General features: G+C 43.5%; 1 protein-coding gene and 1 long non-coding RNA gene across 3 annotated transcripts in view, besides 4 other annotated features; one reads left to right on the top strand and one right to left on the bottom strand.

Annotated features, from left to right (window-relative positions):
• Nucleotides 1-4,135: 4,135 nt before the first annotated feature.
• PINX1-DT (PINX1 divergent transcript) lies at nt 4,136-10,619 on the bottom strand. Its single transcript, NR_125432.1, has 3 exons — nt 10,569-10,619; nt 8,911-9,012; nt 4,136-4,427 (listed from the first exon to the last, which is right to left on the bottom strand). It is a non-coding gene; the product is annotated as a PINX1 divergent transcript (long non-coding RNA).
• Nucleotides 10,497-10,666: a silencer, noted in NCBI's record as "silent region_18916". NCBI's record gives its function as "represses an Ori minimal core promoter by ATAC-STARR-seq in GM12878 lymphoblastoid cells {active_cell/tissue: GM12878}" and the evidence as "EXISTENCE:reporter gene assay evidence [ECO:0000049][PMID:35858748]".
• Nucleotides 10,497-11,054: a biological region, named in NCBI's record as "H3K27ac hESC enhancer GRCh37_chr8:10697101-10697601".
• Nucleotides 10,554-11,054: an enhancer, noted in NCBI's record as "H3K27ac hESC enhancer chr8:10697101-10697601 (GRCh37/hg19 assembly coordinates)". NCBI's record gives its function as "activates a minimal SCP1, AML or CMV promoter by ChIP-STARR-seq in naive H9 embryonic stem cells {active_cell/tissue: H9 hESC(naive)}" and the evidence as "EXISTENCE:reporter gene assay evidence [ECO:0000049][PMID:30033119]".
• Nucleotides 10,770-18,301, top strand: part of PINX1 (PIN2 (TERF1) interacting telomerase inhibitor 1) — a 74,915-nt gene continuing 67,383 nt past the window's right edge. For both annotated transcript variants that reach the window (NM_001284356.2, NM_017884.6), the window contains exons 1-3: nt 10,770-10,907; nt 15,870-15,979; nt 17,661-17,753. In NM_001284356.2, the coding sequence (NP_001271285.1) occupies nt 10,889-10,907; nt 15,870-15,979; nt 17,661-17,753 (222 nt within the window). In that variant the 5' untranslated portion in view covers nt 10,770-10,888. The remainder of the gene's footprint in view (nt 10,908-15,869; nt 15,980-17,660; nt 17,754-18,301) is intronic.
• Nucleotides 10,807-10,946: an enhancer, noted in NCBI's record as "active region_26996". NCBI's record gives its function as "activates an Ori minimal core promoter by ATAC-STARR-seq in GM12878 lymphoblastoid cells {active_cell/tissue: GM12878}" and the evidence as "EXISTENCE:reporter gene assay evidence [ECO:0000049][PMID:35858748]".

Below are 18,301 nucleotides of genomic sequence, written 5' to 3'. Positions count from 1 at the left end.
GCTGCCTCCCGCTCCCAAACTCAACACGCCCCCTCCTGGAAAGCAAAACAGGTACTCACTGACTGCAGTCGGCCCTACATGGAGAACTATATGGAGCTCTAGTTAACGGTGGATGGATGTGCCAGTCCTAGGAACAGCAAAGCAGGAGGAAGAGCTCCTGAGACAGAGAGGGCACTGAAGTGAGTGCTAATGGCAAGGCAGGCAGTGCAGCTTGCACAAAAGCTGGAAGGAAGTTCCCTGCTCAGAAGACCTACGGGGAGACATCAGAAAGGCAGGGTGGCTGAAATCATGAAAAAGCATGAGCCCTCGAAGGGAATGAGACTATAAGGAAAAGAGGAGAAGACCAAACAAGTTCAGGTGATAGCTAAGGCTACACATCTGCAGGAGAAATAATAGCAAAGGGAGGGAAAAGAAAATGCAGGGAATTACCGGGCATGGTGGCTCACGCCTGTAATCCCAGTACTCTGGGAAGCCGAGGCGGGCAGATCACCTGAAGTCAGGAGTTCGAGACCAGCCTGGCCAACATGGTGAAACCCCGTCTCTACTAAAAATACAACAATTAGCCGGGCATGGTGGTGTGCGCCTGTAATCCCAGCTACTCTGGAGGCTGAGACAGGAGAATCATTTGAACCCAAGAGGTGGAGGTTACAGTGAGCCAAGATCGCACCATGGCGCTCCAGCTTGGGTGACAGAGCGAGACTGTCTTAAAAAAAAAAAAAAAAAAAAAAGAAAGAAAGAAAAGAAAAATGCATGGAATGGCTGGGTGCAGTGGCTCACACCTGTAATTCCAGCACTTTAGAAGGCAGAGGCAGGAGGATTGCTTGAACCTAGGAATTCAAGATCAGCCAGGGCAATATAGTGAGACCATCTCCACAAAAAATAAATTTTTAAAAATTAGCCGGGCGTGGTGGTGCTAGCCTGTAGTCTCAGCTGCTCAGGAGGTTGAGGTGAGAGGATCACTTGAGCCCAGGAGTTCAAGCCTGCAGTAAGCTATGATCACACCACTGCAGTCCAGCCTGGGCAACCGAGTGAGATGCTGTCTTAAAAATTTTTTAAAAAATAAAAGAAAATGTAGGGCAAGCAGAATATGGCAATGAAAGGATTCAGGAAGGTCAGGCAGTGGCAGAGAATGAGTGCCATGAGGCTGGGAGAGATCTTTGGTATTGGAAGGGACCAGCACACTTTGGAAGGTGCCTATATCATGACATCTTCACTCTGTGAACACTATGGAAAAGTGAGGACTTTCCCACCCTCGGTCGCAAAAAACAGCGTTTTGTAAATCTCATCCTCCACTAGAAGTCAAATTTTGGAGTCAGGAGGCATCCCCGTCATCACTGGCTTTGGGTGCGCCACGTAGAGTTGGACTTCAAAGAATCATTTGCTCTGTGAAAAAGGAAGTGGCCCCAAGCAAGAGTTGACATCAGTGAATGAAGCTCTTCCCTTCACTGTACGTCACTGTTACCTGGACATGTGGTGTTTACCCTGATGTACGGTTTCTGGTAAACCAAACTGGAGTCCATGACCAGACTCCGGGCCTAAGTGAGGCTGCTTCTCTGCCTTGAGTCTAACTCCTTCCCCAGCTGGCTGATCTATAAGCCTGCCACGCTCGTACTCACAGAGAGGGAGAGAGGTGGAAAGCAAGATGGGCAAGGCTTCCCGGAGAGACAACTCTGGCTCAGCCCATTCCTTTTGCCATCACAGAGAAAGCCACATCTAAGTTTGTGGCTTGTGACTTTTGCCACCGACAGTGACTTTGACCACTAGAAAATGTGGTCCAATTGGTGTCTTGGAATCTGACCCCATCAGTTCAGTACATTGTTAATTGTCTAATGGAGGAGTAAGCTGGAGGGTAGCCCACAGAATATGTCTTCTTAACCCCACTCCAACTTCTCCCAAGCTACTAACAGACATAAAATGTGGAGTCATGGCAGAGCAGAGCTGCTGCAGACACACTATGTGCACCAGAAGCCAGGGCGTCTACAGAGGACCCAATGGTGGCCAACTGAGTGACACTTTCAACAGCTCCGCATTCACATAGTCATCCTATAGGGGTCAAGTGGTTTCCAAAATGCTGACAGATTTCTGTCATGGGTGCCTATAATGGGTTTCCAGCATGCCTTGGAGTGAGTAGATGAGTTGGAGTTGAATTTCCAGGCAAGACACTTATGTCCATTCCATGTGCGGACCACACTTTCCACAGTTGCATGCCCCTTTTCTCAAATTAATGAATAGAAGTATTTAAACTATTCTGATATCATAAAGAAGTAACATGTATTTTTATTATTTATAAGTTTTGATAATATAGAAATGCATACTGTAGAAAATAAAAGTCTTCTGTAATGTCTTTCCCCCCTCTGCTGAAAATATCAGTATTAACAATTTGGAATAGAGTCTCCCCCAATTTTTCCATGCATATAATAACCATATATGTATGTATATATAGACTATTATATATACCTTTTTTGTATTTAAAAGTGGGATTTTAAAAAATGGGGTGCTACAGTTTTGCAAATGGTTTTGACTTAATATCTCTTGCAACAAAGTTTTTTTAAAGGGACTATGTATAAATTAACACTGTATAAATAAAAGTGTCCTAAAAGACTTAGAGATATTTCCTTAAAGTAATGCCTGATGCAAGTATTTGTACTCTATGGTCATGGCCTCCTCTTTATCACCCCCCTCAACCAGCAATAACCCCCGGCTAGTGATGTAACAGGTCACGATTCTGAAGGGTTCTATGTCCAAAGAAACTCCCCCCCACCACCCAGGAGTCTCTCATTTGTTACCTACATGGTCATCAGTTGTGGACAGATCAAGACAGTGGCCTTGGTGTATAGTTAAAAACAAAACAAAATTGTGTGCACTGAAAACAGGCACATCATATACTGAGTTCCTTCTCCGTGCCAGCTGCTGTCCTGAGTGGTATATATCACTTCATTGAATAGCAATGCATGTATTGTCTTAGTCAGTTCAGGATGCTATAACAAGATACCAGAGACTGGGTAACACAGTCTTATAAACAACAGAAATTTATTTCTCACAGTTCTAGAGGCTGGGAAGTCCAAGATCAAGGTGCTGGCAGAATTGGTGTCTGGTGAGGGGCCACTTCTCACCATGTCCTCACAGGGTGGAAGGGACAAGACTCTCCAGGATCTCTTTTATAAGGGCATTAATCCCATTCATGTGGGCTCCACCCTAGTGAACTAATCACCTCTCAAGGTCCCACCTGCAAATACTCTCACATTGGGGGTTAAGATTTCAATATGTAAATTTTAAGGAGGAAACCAATGTTCCATCTATAGCATCTACAGTACCTTTGAGGTAGGTATCATTGCTATTCTTACATAAATGGGGAAAAGAAAGCATAGGAAATTTAGTAACCTGCCCAAGGTCAACAGCTGGTAAGTGGCAGAGGAAGACATACATAGAATATGAAGAATAAGAGATGGAGCAGATTAGGCACCAAGAGCTGCTTGTAATTCTCAAGGCAACTGGCAGTGGCCACTTGCAGTATCATGAGGCATCCCATGTGCTCACAGCAACCCCATGGATTAGCAGGTGAGGAATCAGAGAGGGGACATAATTGTAGGTGTCACAGCCAGATTTGAACCCTTAATTTTGGAAGTCATTCTGTTAATTACTGCAGCGAGGCAAATCATTATGGGAAGGACAGACTATACCCACAGAGCTCCACAGGCTGTGGAGTGCTTACCTGGAGGGCAGCAGAAGCTAGAAAGAAAGCTTTAGAAGGGGTCAGGGAGAGCCAACAGTGAGACTCGGGAAGCCTCCTTAGATCACTCCAGAATGTCCACCCATAACCACCGGGATAGAGCCCCTGCCTGACATGATGCTTTCTCACTTAGGACAGGAGTCTTTAGCCAGCAGTGCAAGTCTGGAGACCCTCTCAAATGGGTGACTAAATCGGTTACCATCCCTCTCTCCGTTCATCATCTTGACTCCCACCTCATCCCCATACCTTCCTTGTGCAGGTATCTGTCTCCCTGCCCTATCCCCACTGCCCTCTCCTCTGCCACCAGCTGCCCCTGAAAACATTTTAGAATATAAGAAACTAAAGTGTCACTATCTCACTCAAAGGTTAGGGAATGCTAGTTTAGGACAATAAAGAAAGCAGTTATCAGACAGTGAAGAAATCAGGTTTTTCTTTTGACATAATAATGCTAATTTGGATTCCTGGGTGTGATTTTTGATAGTTGGGATTTACAGGTGTTCACAGTACTTTTGTGACGGCCACAGCTTGACATCACACAATGTTGACAGGAAGTATGCACAGAGAAGGAATCTCAGGCCGGAATTGCTGCCAGGAAGCCAGAAGGCATCCCTGGACTGTGATTAATATAGCGTCTTCTTTTCTTCACACTGCTCTTGGCTAGAGTTTGTCTTCTTTGAACTTCTATAACATACAGAAACTGTAAGAGAAGGCAAGAAAAATGATTACAGGAGCCCTAGGGGATGAGAGCGCTGAGTTGGCATTAACTGGGCATAGGACTTTAACAAAAACATTATCACTGACAAATTCTTCTGACCCAGAGACACAAGCAACAGAAAGCTGAGTTTAAAGCACATTGCAGGGGCAACAACCTCACAAAATCTGAGACTTTCCCCCAGGGGATGGGTAAATAAACATGTTGTCAATCATCCATTTCCAGTGTGTTGGACTAAGTGGGCAGGCCTTTTACGACACGATGATAGGACTGTCAGAGAAAGTGAGAAGGTCTTAGGTAGGGGCTGCAGGAAAAACCCTCCATGGAGTGATGAGCCTTCTGTTCCTTGGGCAATAGCAACTGGATTGATACGTTTGGGGAGTGTATGCATAAGCATAGGAGAGGTCTTCCAAAACTTCATGGAAAGGTCATATTATGCATGGATTTCAATTTTTTTGCACCAAAATACACTTGTAATAACTTGTTATAACATGTTAGAACATGATCTAGTTTGAGGCACTAAGACATCAATTTGAAAGAGCCCCCTTTCAGAACAACATGAATTCTGCTAAAATTGAAGCAAGAACAAACACCAAATTTATGGTGAAGCTTGGGTGGAATGGTGAAATCACTGATGCTTTATAAAAAGTTTATGGGGACAATGCCCCAAAGAAATAAGCAGTTTACAAGCGGATAACTTACTTTAAGAAGGAATAAGATGATGTTAAAGATTACACCTATAGTGGTAGATCATCCACATTAATTTGCAAGGAAAAAACTAAGTTTGTTCATGCACTAATTGAAGAGGGCTAATGATTTACAGGAGAAACAATAGCCAAACCATAGATATCGCAATTGGTTCAGTGTATACAACTCTGACCGAAAAATTAGAGTTGAGCAATCTTTCCATTCAATGGGTGCCAAAACTATTGCACCCAGATCAGCTGCAGACAAGAGCAGAGCTTTCAGTGGAAATTCTAAACAAGTGGAATGAAGATCCTGAAGCACTTCTTCGGAGAAGTGAAACAGGAAATAAACCACAGCTTCACCAGTACAATCCTGAAGACAAATCACAACCAAAGCAATGGCTACCAATAAATGGAAATGGTCCAGTCAAAGAGAAAGTGGACTGGTCAAAAGCCAAGGTCACGGTGACGGTTTTTTGGGATGCTCACACACAAAAAGATGCCACAGGCTGCATCAGTTGTCTTTAGGAAAATTAGAGAAATAACCCAAAATGTTGGTGAGGGAAGGGTGCAGGAGAGACCTACGGCAAATATCAATGGCAGAATTAGCTTGAAATACATGGAAAAAAAAAATCTCTTCTTCTTTTACCCTGCCTCCCCCAATGTCTACAATATACACAAATCTACTAAAATTTAAGATGCTCTTTCAAATGTTTAGTTTTTTTTTTAAACAGCAGTCGTTCAGAGCACATGATATTTTATTTTTCTGCATCATGTCATTTCAGGTTTATCTGTCATCACTAAAGAAAAAAAAAAAACATTGATTCTGTAACTGCCTGATGGGTTTCTCTCGCAGGCTAACCAGATAGACCTGGTTTATCAAGACAGGGGAATTGCAATAGAAGGTTTAATACACATAGAGCTAGCTAAATGGGAGACTGGAGTTTTATTATTACTCAAATAAGCTGTCCCGAAAATTCAGAAACTGAAATTTTTATACAGTAGTTTGGCAGGCAGGAGGCTAGGGAATGGGGATTGCTGATTGGTTGGGTTGGAGACGAAATCATAGGTAGTCGAAGCTCTCCTCTTGCATGAGCCACTTCTTGGGTAGGGGCCACAAGACCAGACGAGCCACTTTACTGGCCTGGGTGGCTCCAGCGGATCCATCAGAATGCAGAATGTTATGGTCTATTATAAAACACCAATCTTAGGTTTTATAATAGTAATGTTATCTATAGGAGCAAATAGGTAGGTTAGCAGTCTTGTGGCCTCTGGCTGTATTATACCTGAGCCATGGTGGGGCTGTTTCAGGGAGGGGCTGTTATCATCCTTGTTTTAAAATTAAACTATTAACTAAATTCCTCCCAAAGTTAGTTCAGCCTACACCCAGGAATGAACAAGGGCAGCTTGGAGGTTAAAGGCAAGATGGAGTTGGTTAGGTCAGGTCTCTTTCATTGTCATAATTTTCTCACTGTTATAATTTTAGCAAAGGTGGTTTCAATTCAAAGGCAAAATTTGGTTTCTTGGCTTAAAACCTTTACAGTTCTAATTTGCCAGTTACAGACAGAATGATTCTACTTTTTAAATACTTGACTTTTGTAAGTACTCACAGCTAGTATACAAATTGTAGGTTATTTGAAATAGTCAGAGTATTAGCAATTTCTGCTTCCGGCCATGATGGAGTAAAGAAACTGGATTTACCCTTCCACCTTCACTACAAAGCTGGGAAAAATAGACAAAACAATGGTTTTGAGACATTGAGCAACAGGCAGTGAAAGACTGCAATCCTAACAATTTGGTAATAAAGGAGGTGAGCCCTTTGATAGCCCTCATTTCTGGCCTGAAGAGTTTCCAGGTTGCAGCATAGGGAGACGGAACTCAGACAGAACCTGGAGGTCTCACTGAGCTAAGGTGACAACAATCAAGGAAGCTAGGATTCTTGGGGCCGAGTGTCAGAGAGAAGAGAATTATACCAAGGGAAACTCCAGATATTTGCAGAAGCGTCCCCTCAAGTCTTCAAATGAAGATTGAGCAACACTTGCACTGGAGGAAACTACTGGGAAAGAACCACCAGAGACAAGAAGGCAGAAAAATCCCCAGAGCTCACACAGGGCCAAAAGCAACTTGCGTTTCCCCAGTGGAAATAATTTCTAAACACATGGAGCATCAAGCAGAGTCCTTGACAGGCTGCTGCTTTAACAATGGGACCAGATTATAACTAAACTTAAAGACTATTGTGGGCCCATCTAGCAAAACTTACACAAAAGGCTTGCAAAGGCCACATTTTCCCCAAAGGACTTAACTATCCCAGAACAAAATATTTGAAGGAATACAAAAGCCTTCAGCCCCCAATAAAGTAACACTCACAATGTCGGATGTAAAATAAAAAGGTTACCAGGTGTGAAAGATGCAGGAAAATATGACTCACATCAAGAAGAAAAATGTACCAAAAAAAAAAAAAAAAAGCATTAGGAAGATCAAACAACAACCCATAACCTTACCAACTAGATATGGTTTTCAGTGAAGAATTAGAGTATTACCTTTTAGACTTTAATTTAATATGTATTTTTTAATTACTGATATTAAATGAACTATGAATGATCAACTTGGTGTCCTAGAGATTTTTTCCCCTTTACGTATCTTGAGCACTTTCTCATGTGTATTTCACTTTTCTGCTTGTAAGAATCAACATTCACTTGGCTTACCTTATGTAATGGGAGGTATATTAGAAGTATGAAAAGGAAATAAGACTCTCAGCTAAATGAACCAAGGTAGGAAAAAAGACAAATAATCGGACCTCACAGGGAGTGAAGGACCAAGAGTGCAGCCAGGCTCTGCAAGCAAGTTCGCTGGGGCCCCAGGGCCTCTCCAGAGCCTCAGGAGAAGCTGTTAGTGAATGAGTGTTCCCTCTGATGCTCTGCCTTAGGGAGATCTAGCCCTTATTATCTCAGTCTTCCTTCTCTTCATACATCTTTTGGCTTCTTTTGTTGTACAGAATGGCTTCTGGCCTGGATCATTCAAATCCGTCCTACATGCCTGATTAGTGTTGCCTAGTCTAGAATTTCATATAAATGGAATCATATAGCATGTACTTCTTCCACTGAGCATCATGTTTTTGAAATTAATTCAGGGGCCAGCGAAATTTTTCTTAAAGGATCAGACAGTAAATATATTAGGTTTTGGGGGCCACACAGTCTCTCCCAACTGCTTAGTTCTGCTGGTGTGGCCAGAAAGCAGCCAAACAATAGATACATTAATGAGTGTTTATCTATTGTTTAGCTGCTTTCTGGCCACACTAGCAGAACTACGTACTTGGGAGAGCCAACTACCTGTGTAGAAAAAAAAAAAAAGAGAAACTACTTTACCCTTGAGTCCATTCATACCTTTGCTCATGTCATGGACTGTTATGCAAAGAAAGGTCTGTGGATCATTGGTATCCACATTTTTAGACCCTGTTATAAATGCAGAATCTGGCTCATGCCTGTAATCCTGAAACTTTGGGAGCTGAGGTGGGAGGATCACTTTAGCCCAGGAATTTGAGACCAGCCTGGGAAACATAGGGATATCCTGTCTCTACAAAAAATAAAAATAAAAAAATTTAGCTGGATGTTGTGGCACATGCCCGTAGTCATAGCTACCTAGGACACTCAGGTGGGAGGACTGCTTAAGTCAGAGAGGCAGAGGCTGCAGTAAGCCATGGTCACACTATTATGCTCCAGCACGGACAACATAGTGAGGCCCTGTCTCAAAAAAAAAAAAAAAAGGCAGAATCTCAGACTCACCCTAGGCCTGCTGAACCAGATGTGCATTTTAACATGATCTCTGGGTGACTGGCGTGCACAGTCATGTCTGTGAAGTATTGCCCAAGGGAGTCTGCTGAGACACTGAAGGACAAGATGGAATGGGTTACATTGGATCACCTTCTTTTAACAAGTGCAATTTCCACTCCAGCTGGCCAGTTAAAATACAAACAAGATTCTGTAATTTTTTTTAAATCCCAAACTTAATAATATTCTTTTTCAGTAGATGATCTCCATTAATATTTCATAGCCATATAGAATGCTGGGGTTGAAACAAAATAGGAAACCATCCTGCATTCACCAAAAGGCAGAGTCCCTTCTACAATATTCCTCTGTGGCCTCTAACTGAGCGTTTCCAGGAGACACCTCATTGTAACAGAAGATCCAACGATAACTAACCATTTACCACCTGAACCATGGCAACAGGCCATAAATGTCTGCTTCGATCTTCTTGACCATCTTAGAGACAAAATTACCTTTCTGAAATCATATACCAACACAGGAGGTGCTTGAAAAACTCTGATTTCCGACTAATTCAGTATTCTCCATTCTATATAACTACCTTCCACTCTCTCTGGCATAATCCAATAGATCTGCTAATTATCCTAAGATTTTTGTGATCCTGCCTTCCTGAGTCCAGTGCCCTACTTTTAACCTTGTTCCCTATGTCACAATGTCACAGCTTTCCTGCCTTGGCTGGGAAAATTCCATTCACTTGCCTCCCCTCACCCCCTCAGTATTCACTGATAGCTATAAGCATCCTTTTGTGTTTCTTCTAACTTTTATGAAACTAGGGTTTACCTTTTTCATCCAGATTCCTAGTTAAAGGGAGAATTTCATTGTAAACAAGAATCTAGTCCTTCAATTGCTTTTCTTGGCACCTGAGTGGTGCTCTTTTTACCTTCCTTTTATGTAGGAAAGGCTTCTGTGTGCACTGTCACCTGAAGTTTACTGGAGAGTCACTCACCCAAAAACATGTCTTTACCATACTTAAAAGTGTTATAGCTAAGAGCTTATTAGAACTCCCCTGGAGACAGGGATACTTGAATTAAATTTTGCAAACATCTATGGAGCCTTACCATACTCACATTATTTTGCGAGGTGCTGGTACGAATACAGAAATGGATATAATAAAGGCAACCTTCCAGTGTGTGCACTGTGGTGGAGAAAATAAATAAAACCTTTGCCTTGTTGAAGGCATCCCATTATTTAAAGAGGTAACATTTTCCCCACAACTATTTTGTGTGGGGTCCCACAAAAAAACCGATAGATAGCAGACCTATCTTCTGATATCTATCTACTATCTATCTATCATCTATCTATCTATCTATTTATCTATCATCCATTTGTTTATCTATCTCAGAAAGCAGAGGTAGGGTACGAGGAAGAGATGGGACATTACAATGCAAAGTCCTCCCCTCCAGCCAAGTTTTTCAAACTCCTTGTCCATACAACATCCATGACCCTAAGTTCAGCTCTTTACACATTTCTTTTCCCCGTGAGGCTGAGCTGCTTGAGGGCAGGTCACGTCTTTCCACTACCCTTCTTGCCGGCACCTAGGGCTTCCTGATGGAGACCCTACAGGTAATCCACGTGAGCTTATGCTCCGCGGCAGACACGCCCAGGCGGGCTTTACTCACATCAATAGCTTAGTACGCACACTCCCTCTAGCCAATGAGCGAATACGTACTCCTTTCTCCACCTCCCGCAGGGCGGCCACCGCCCCCTCAGTCCCTCTTTCTCCCGTCACCTCCCCAGGTTGCCCCGCCCTGCTCCGCCCCCTCGCCGCCGCGTGCTCGAGGAGCGAGTCGCGCGCTACTGACGTCACCAGCACGCGCCCCGTCCGCTGCAGTCCGCCGGCGAGGGAGTTACGCACGTCCTGATTCTCCTGGAGTCTCCAGCCCGCCCAGTGGCCGCAGTCACCCAGGTCCAGAGGCGGCGGTATCACAGGCTCTCCGACATGTCTATGCTGGCTGAACGTGAGTGTCGGAAGCGGAGGCCCGACCCAGGCGCGTTGGTGAAGATGCCGGGTGACGCGCACGGCAGCCCGGAGTGGCTGGGAGCTCGGGTTGCCGGCGCGCCTGGCGCATGGGATCGGGGGACCGGGGAGCCGAGCCCGGCTCTGATTGTCCTGCTCGCCGCAGAGCTCCCCGAAAGTTGGCCGCAGGTCTGCTAGTGAGAGAGACCGCAAGTGTCTCCCGGAGACGCCGTTCTCAGAATCACCCTGGGTCGCGTGCGAAGTGGGTCAGAACACCGGGTCCCGGGACTGGCCCCGCCGCCGCCCTTTGTGGGGTCCCGGACTGGTTGCTTCACCCACCCCGGACCTCAGCTTCCTGAGGTTAAAAAGAGAAGGTTGAGCAGAAGGATCACTTGAAACTGTAATCACATTGTCCAAGATGTCTTGGACCCAGAAAAAGAAAAAGCAAAGGAGTTAGAAGTCTCAAATATGGGACGTCAGCCACTTAGCGAGGGAGTGCAGGGCTAATGTGTAATTCTAAGTGAGACTGGCGTTTTTGACCTTGTTAGTTGGCCACAGCGCCCCGTCCTGCCTGTTTACCTTTGACATTTATCTTCACTTGGTGGAGTCGGTGAAACCCCTGTCTCTGTAGAGGCTGCTGAACTTCTGAATTGTACCTGTAGCGAAGGTCGCTTGCCGCCAGATGGCAGTCATGCTTTGATCCTGAAAAGCGGGTCCTGCTTGGCGAGTTGTACAGTGAGCAAAGAACAGAAACAGCTTATTTAACAGATCAAGCAGACCAGCACAGGGATTTTGTGAAATAAGTGCTGTTAGCACTCTCTTTTCTAAGAGGGTGGAGGACTTAGGAGCACAAAACGAAATGGGTCAGGCACCATCCCGATTTTACAGGGGCAGAAATTGACGTTCAAAGGAAAATAATTTGCCCCTAGTCATTGAGGTAGAAAATGGCAAAATTGATCCAGTTATCTCTGTATCTTTATGTTCTTGCCAGTAAGACCAGCGGAGACCCATAGAAATGAGTATGTTTTAGACTGAACCCGTCGGTTCTATTTTTTCACCAGTAAAAAATGAGGAGTCAGGGTTAGAGCCTAGATAGCTAAGATCTCTTCTGGTTTTCGTATTCTTTGATGTTTGCTTAATTCAGCATGCACTTGGCGACTTTGGCCCTAGTTCTGCTATTCATTTATGTCTGTTCCTTTGATCAGTGTTTGTGAGGCCACAAAATCTTCTCTTAATATTTTTATCCCTAGGTGGCCTTAAATCAGTGAGATGGTGAACATGAACATAGTTTGAAAAGTCTGAAGTATAGAGGTGTAAAATGCTATTTGTAGGCATCAGTAATTCAGATTACATGATTTCAAGAGAGTGTTTTCAGTTCTCCTCTTCCCAACGTTATTCCAAATTGTCAAATCCTTGTCATTATAATATGTAATATTTTTGTGTTTTCTTTTTCGTAATTTGCTAAATGGGTATAGCATCTTCTGTAATTAGATACTTAGGATTGGTGTTGTTAAGAAGAAAAACCTTAGACAAATTATACAGAGTTTGATTGAGCAAAGAATGATTCAAGAATTGGGCAGCCTTCAGAACTAGAACCGGTTCTAAGAACTCCAACCTGCTATGTGGTCAGGCAGTATTTATGGACAGTAAACGGAAGTGAGGTACAGCGACAACTTGGTTAGGGTTACCGCTCTGATTTGCCTTATTTGAATCAGATGGCTGCCTGTGATTGAAGCCTAGCTGCTGTAATGGATTGAGGCTCACTTATATGTTATAAGAGTATACTCCTACGGTAGGCTTTCGCTTCCTTTAAGTTCTAACGTAGGTTGCAGTTCCTTATGTAAGGACTCAAGTACGGAGGCCTCCTCAGGCCAAATTTAATTTAGTGTAACAATACTCTCCTTCTGATCAACCTCTGAATTTTGAGAGATTGTTTAAAACTTCTGCCTCTGGCTCTTGGGACTCAACACGCCCTTTAGAGTAAATGGGATCCTAGCATAAGTCATGTGGTATTGAGCTGTTGTGTGGATGGTTTTTATTGGATTTGCCCCAAAAGTATCCCGACAGACCCATTTACAGTTAGATCTCCACATAGGAGTACCTGCTAGAGGATGGTTAAATACTTCCCAAATAGTGATTCTGCAGATTCAGGGCATTCTACCTGAGGCCCAGCGCCATGCTGTAAACACTGCTGTTCCAGATCGTGTCAAGGGTCCCCAAGATCATCCCCAGATTCAATGATGTGCTGGGGGATTCAGGCACAGGACTCAGCATATAGTCGCACTCACTGCTAAGATTTATTACAGCAAAAGGATGTAGAGCAAAGCCGGCAAAAGGAAAAGATGCACGGGGCAAAGTCCAGGCTAAGCCAGGCGTCAAGCTTCCAGAGCCCTCCCCCAGGGAGTCACACATAACACGCTTAATTCCTCCAGTAGTGAGTTCTGAGAGCAAATATGGAATGTTGCCCACCAGGGAAGCTAGTGAGAGACTCGGTGCTAGGGATTTCCTGGGGCCTGGTCACATAGACACCCTCTACCTGGGAGGCACCAAAATTCCTGGCTCGCAGAAGGAAAGCAGGTGCTCAGCATAAACTGTATCATTTGCATAAACAGGCACAATGAGCCACTCTTACCAGTTCTGCGAATGGTGGGAACCCTTGAGTTCCCTGTTATGAACAGGCCTTTCAAAGGATAGCAGTCAGGCCTTCTGTGTTAGTGAACAAAGCTGAGATCTGAGCACAGAACAGACTGTGGCATGAGAATTACAAAGGACATGTAAAAGGTGATCCAATTGGAACAGCTCAGAGGCAGTCTTTTCCTTACCATGATTTTCCACACCTGGAAACTTGGGTGCCATTAGAGCTGGGAAATGTTCCAGGGAAGCAGGGTTCTGGTCAAGTGAAGTCTGGGAAGCATGGCAGGCCTGCTCTGGCCTCCTCTAAGAGGATCTGCACATTTGCATAGTAAAGTTTCCGGGAGATTCTTCCATATGAAATTTAGTTTAACCCAGTGTTACTCATTTTCAATGGGAAACTGCCACCCCCCGCCCCCCCAACATCCTTGTTTGGAAACACTGGTGTGATCCCATTGATTGAAGCTAACTGCCATTTTCCCAGGGGAGAGGAATTGACCTTGAATAGCTAATCTCTTGTGTAGGCATTATAGTTTGTTTTATATAAGTAGGTAATGTGAAGCGTGTGCAGTTCTTAACTGCAGAGCGTGAGCTTATTCTCAAAACTGTCTCCTTCGTACAAGCCCTAGTCAAAGACCCCTGGCAAGCACTGCATAGACACATGAACTCTGACACACTGATGCCAGCTTGCATATAGAATACTGGCTAACAGGCTTCTCTCTGGTGTGTTGTTCATTAGCAGACGCAGTGTTATGCTGAGTATTTGCCAAGATAAGTAAAGTGGTAATTTAGATGGAACATTTTTGGGTCACCTTTTTTTTTCTGCAAAACACTACAAATTCGAGCCCAACTTGTTTTGCTTTGTTAAGGGCCTTTTTTTCTGCCTGTGTATTTGTAAAGGATTTCCTATTTTTGCTGGAGTGTGCATAGTTATGGGCCTCTATTGATTTTATGTGTGCCACAGTGAGCCCCTTTGACAGGGGGTCATGTTATTTTTTAATTATGTGATGAGATGGGCAAGGTAGGAGGGGTTGTGTTGATGGTGAGACAATGTGCTTATATTGATGTGGCAGATAAATGATAATGACACCTCCAAATTTCTCATTTCGCCACAGTCTACTTTTCAGTTTGACATTCTTGTGCTTTGAACCTTTGGAGTTCTTTATTTTTGCCATAATTTTCCTTAAAACGACAGTGATAAACTGGAGTTCATAATGATCAGTAATTTATATGCATTAAAAAAAGTTGCTTTGATGAGATTCAAAGCAGTTCCCTTAATTCAGTTATACTCCTTCCTTCCTTTTTTCCTCTCCCTCTTCTTTCCTCCTTTCTTCCTCTTTCCATTCTTCATTTTTATCGTTTATTCCATTCACATATTTATTGAGTGCCTGCTGTGGGCACAGTGATTTTTTTACTTCTTGCAATGAAGCCTCAGAAAAAAGACATGAATATGAGCCCTAAGGAGATGATGGTCTAATGGGAAACCGGAAAGGCGGATATAAATAGCCCTAATACAGTGGATGTTAAGAAACAGATAAGTTATTCTAGAAGTTCAAAGAGGGGTCAGAGGGCTTCAGGGCATCTCAATGAGAGGGATGGGATTGTTATTATCTGTAGGTCACATGTGTGGAGGGTACAGTTGACTCTCCCCAAGAGCATAATGACTATTGTATGTTGTGAATTAAGAATATAAGCTTTGAAGTTAGTAGGACCAAGGTTGGTTTAAAGGATCTGGTTTTTGCTTGGGGATGTTCGGCAAATTTCTTTCTCTAAGCCTCAGATTTTCATATCTGCCAGTGACAATGGTACTATCCACACTCGTTGGGGTACTGTGAAAACTGAATATTATGTACAGCGTTTGGAGCAGGTCTCAGGTTGAATAATTGGCATTTACTATTTTAAGCGCATCCTTGGTATTGCATGTTCTTTTGTATGTAGTAACGCATGGCAATGGAAGCTGTAATGCTGCTGCTACTACTGCTGATGGTGATGAGGATGCTGGTGTCCACAGGTGCTTTCAGTTGTGCTGATGGCGGAGTATGGAAGGCCCAGCTCTAGTATATTGAGCATTTGCTTTGCCACATTATGAGGGAACATTTCAGTTTTAATCTTAAGAGGTCAACTTATATGTCTAGAATATACATTTATTAGGGAAATCAGGATAAATGATCCAGTCTAACATTCTGTTGAGTGTTGAATTAATTTCTGTATTGTAATGTATGTCATATTTTACATACATACATAAAATACACAAAGTTGTGCATGTGTATGTTTGTGTGGTATTTTCCGGGTATCATCTCCATTGCTGATGATAATGCTTTTTCATTTACAGGTCGGCGGAAGCAGAAGTGGGCTGTGGATCCTCAGAACACTGCCTGGAGTAATGACGATTCCAAGTTTGGCCAGCGGATGCTAGAGAAGATGGGGTGGTCTAAAGGAAAGGTATTTTGGAGAAAAGCGGAAAAAAATCTGAGCTATGAAAAGAGATTAGAAATTAGGGGAAAACTTCCTTCTTAGGAGACTGGAAGAAACTTATGCTTTGGATCAGTAAGTGATTTTGATCCCAAATCAAAAATTGTTGTGACCTTATGATGATAAATTAGGATTGGACATAAGTGTCAACTTTCTATCATTTAAGCTGCCATGCTTAGCATCTTTCATAGACATTGCAACTAGGCTACACGCTTTTTCCCTTTCCATTTATTCTTGACTCCAGTAGAGCCTCTGCTGATACCTCTACACTTAAATGGTTCTTGTTGAGGTCTTTAGCGATCTCTAAGTGCCAAATCAGTGGGCCGCTTGTTTTGTTCTCACATTACTTAACTCCTCAGCAGTGCTGGATGTAATTGACTACTCTCTCCTTGAAATACTTCTGTCTTGGCCTCCACAGTGCTATTGTCTCTTCTGCTCTTCTTTTCACCTCACTTGCCACTCCTAAATTTGTTGCTGTCTCTTCTTTCTATAGACTTTTGATTATTAGGGCTCCTTGAGGCTCAACCTCAGGCCCCTTTTTTGCACTTTGCTGCAGTGATCTCATTCATTCCCTTGCCACACTTTGAATTAGCTAAAGTCTGGGAACTGTCATTTTTCTATATTGAGTCCAGTTCTGTCCTCTGAGCTCTAGATTTGTAAATTCAATAGCCTACTTGATATTTCCACTTGAGTAAGCATTTCAAGGGTATCATTTCTATTATAAAACTCTTGATTCCCCCAAATATATTTTTCCCAGGTTTTCCCCATTTTTCATACATGGCACCGTCTGCCACTTACACAAGCCAGAAACCTGACAGTCATGCTTGATTCCTCCGCCCTCTTGCCTCCCGCAGCCCAGTCGTCGTTTTTCTCCAGCCTCCCGCAGCCCCAGTCGTCATTCTTCTCCAGCCTCCCGCACCCCAGTCGTCATTCTTCTCCAGCCTCCCGCACCCCAGTCGTCATTCTTCTCCAGCCTCCCGCACCCCAGTCGTCATTCTTCTCCAGCCTCCCGCACCCCAGTTGTCATTCTTCTCCAGCCTCCCGCACCCCAGTCGTCTCTTCTCCAGCCTCCCGCACCCCAGTCGTCTCTTCTCCATGCAGGGCAGAGCCCTGCTTCAGCCACTGTCATCACTTGAGCTCACTGACTGGTCAGACTCTCAGCTGCCTCCCTTCCTCCCTCCTTTTTCTCCTCTGGCCCATTTGCTGTACAGCAGCCAGAATGATCTTTTAAAATATGGAAATTAGATCATGTCATCCTTAAAAGACCAGTGGTTTTCCATTGTCTTTAAAATAAAATCCAAATTCCTCCCGTAGGTTATGTGAGATCTAGCCCCTCCGTCATCCTACTTCCTTCATTCCTTAATTTGCAGAAGCCACCCTGGGTGCCTCTGAGGTTTCCCAGTACACTGAGTTTTTTCCCACCTTCGGGTCTTTGCACTTGATCTTTCCTTACCTGGAAAATCTTACAGATGAGTGCTAATTGATGCAGAGGACTTAGAGTCCTCCCCCATGTTGCTTTGTGAAAGTATTTAATGGAGAGAATCATCAACTCAGAACACCTGCCGTAGGCATCTGTGAGTTTTGTAGCAGTGCTCTGCTTCTGAGTATCAGTGAGAGGAATGTTCTAACTCTCTGTGTTTAATCTCCACAGGGTTTAGGGGCTCAGGAGCAAGGAGCCACAGATCATATTAAAGTTCAAGTGAAAAATAACCACCTGGGACTCGGAGCTACCATCAATAATGAAGTGAGCAGCAGTGTGTGCCTCCTGGGTGTCTTTGCATAATTGGCTTCAGTCTTGTAAATCTGAAAGTTGATTGGTTCATCTGCTTCTGACCATTGGTGCAGCACTTCTTTTTATTCACGTTTCCTCTTGAACACTGACGCTTTGAATGCATGGCACTATAACTCAGAGTCAGTGGCCTACCGCGCTTTTTATTTTTAGTATCATTGTTCCCTTTTGGAAAGGATCTAAACTGAAAAGTTTTGTTTCTAAGTTTTTGCAGCCAACATAATCTGGTAGGGAATCTGGGAAATTACTTTAGGTAAATTGAATTACTTTGGTTAGTTCCGTATCTCTGAGTAGTGGATTGGCGGAGCTAAAATTTTTAGCCACTAAAGAAAGAGTTTATATAAAGTTGATTTCAAATGTAGTTGTTGAGGGATAGATAACACAGATATACTTATTTTCTTAGAAGAAGCATTGCCCAGTAAACCTATTTCATATTCCTTTACCTTAAGCATTCTTAAAAATTGCTAAGAATGTGAGTAAGGCAGATTCGTACACTGAAACCC

Source organism: Homo sapiens, chromosome 8, assembly GCF_000001405.40.
Source record: "Homo sapiens chromosome 8, GRCh38.p14 Primary Assembly".
Classification (NCBI taxonomy): Eukaryota; Metazoa; Chordata; class Mammalia; order Primates; family Hominidae; genus Homo; species Homo sapiens.
The sequence above is the reverse complement of the archived record's forward strand: the minus strand, read 5'-3'. Positions and strand labels throughout refer to the sequence as shown.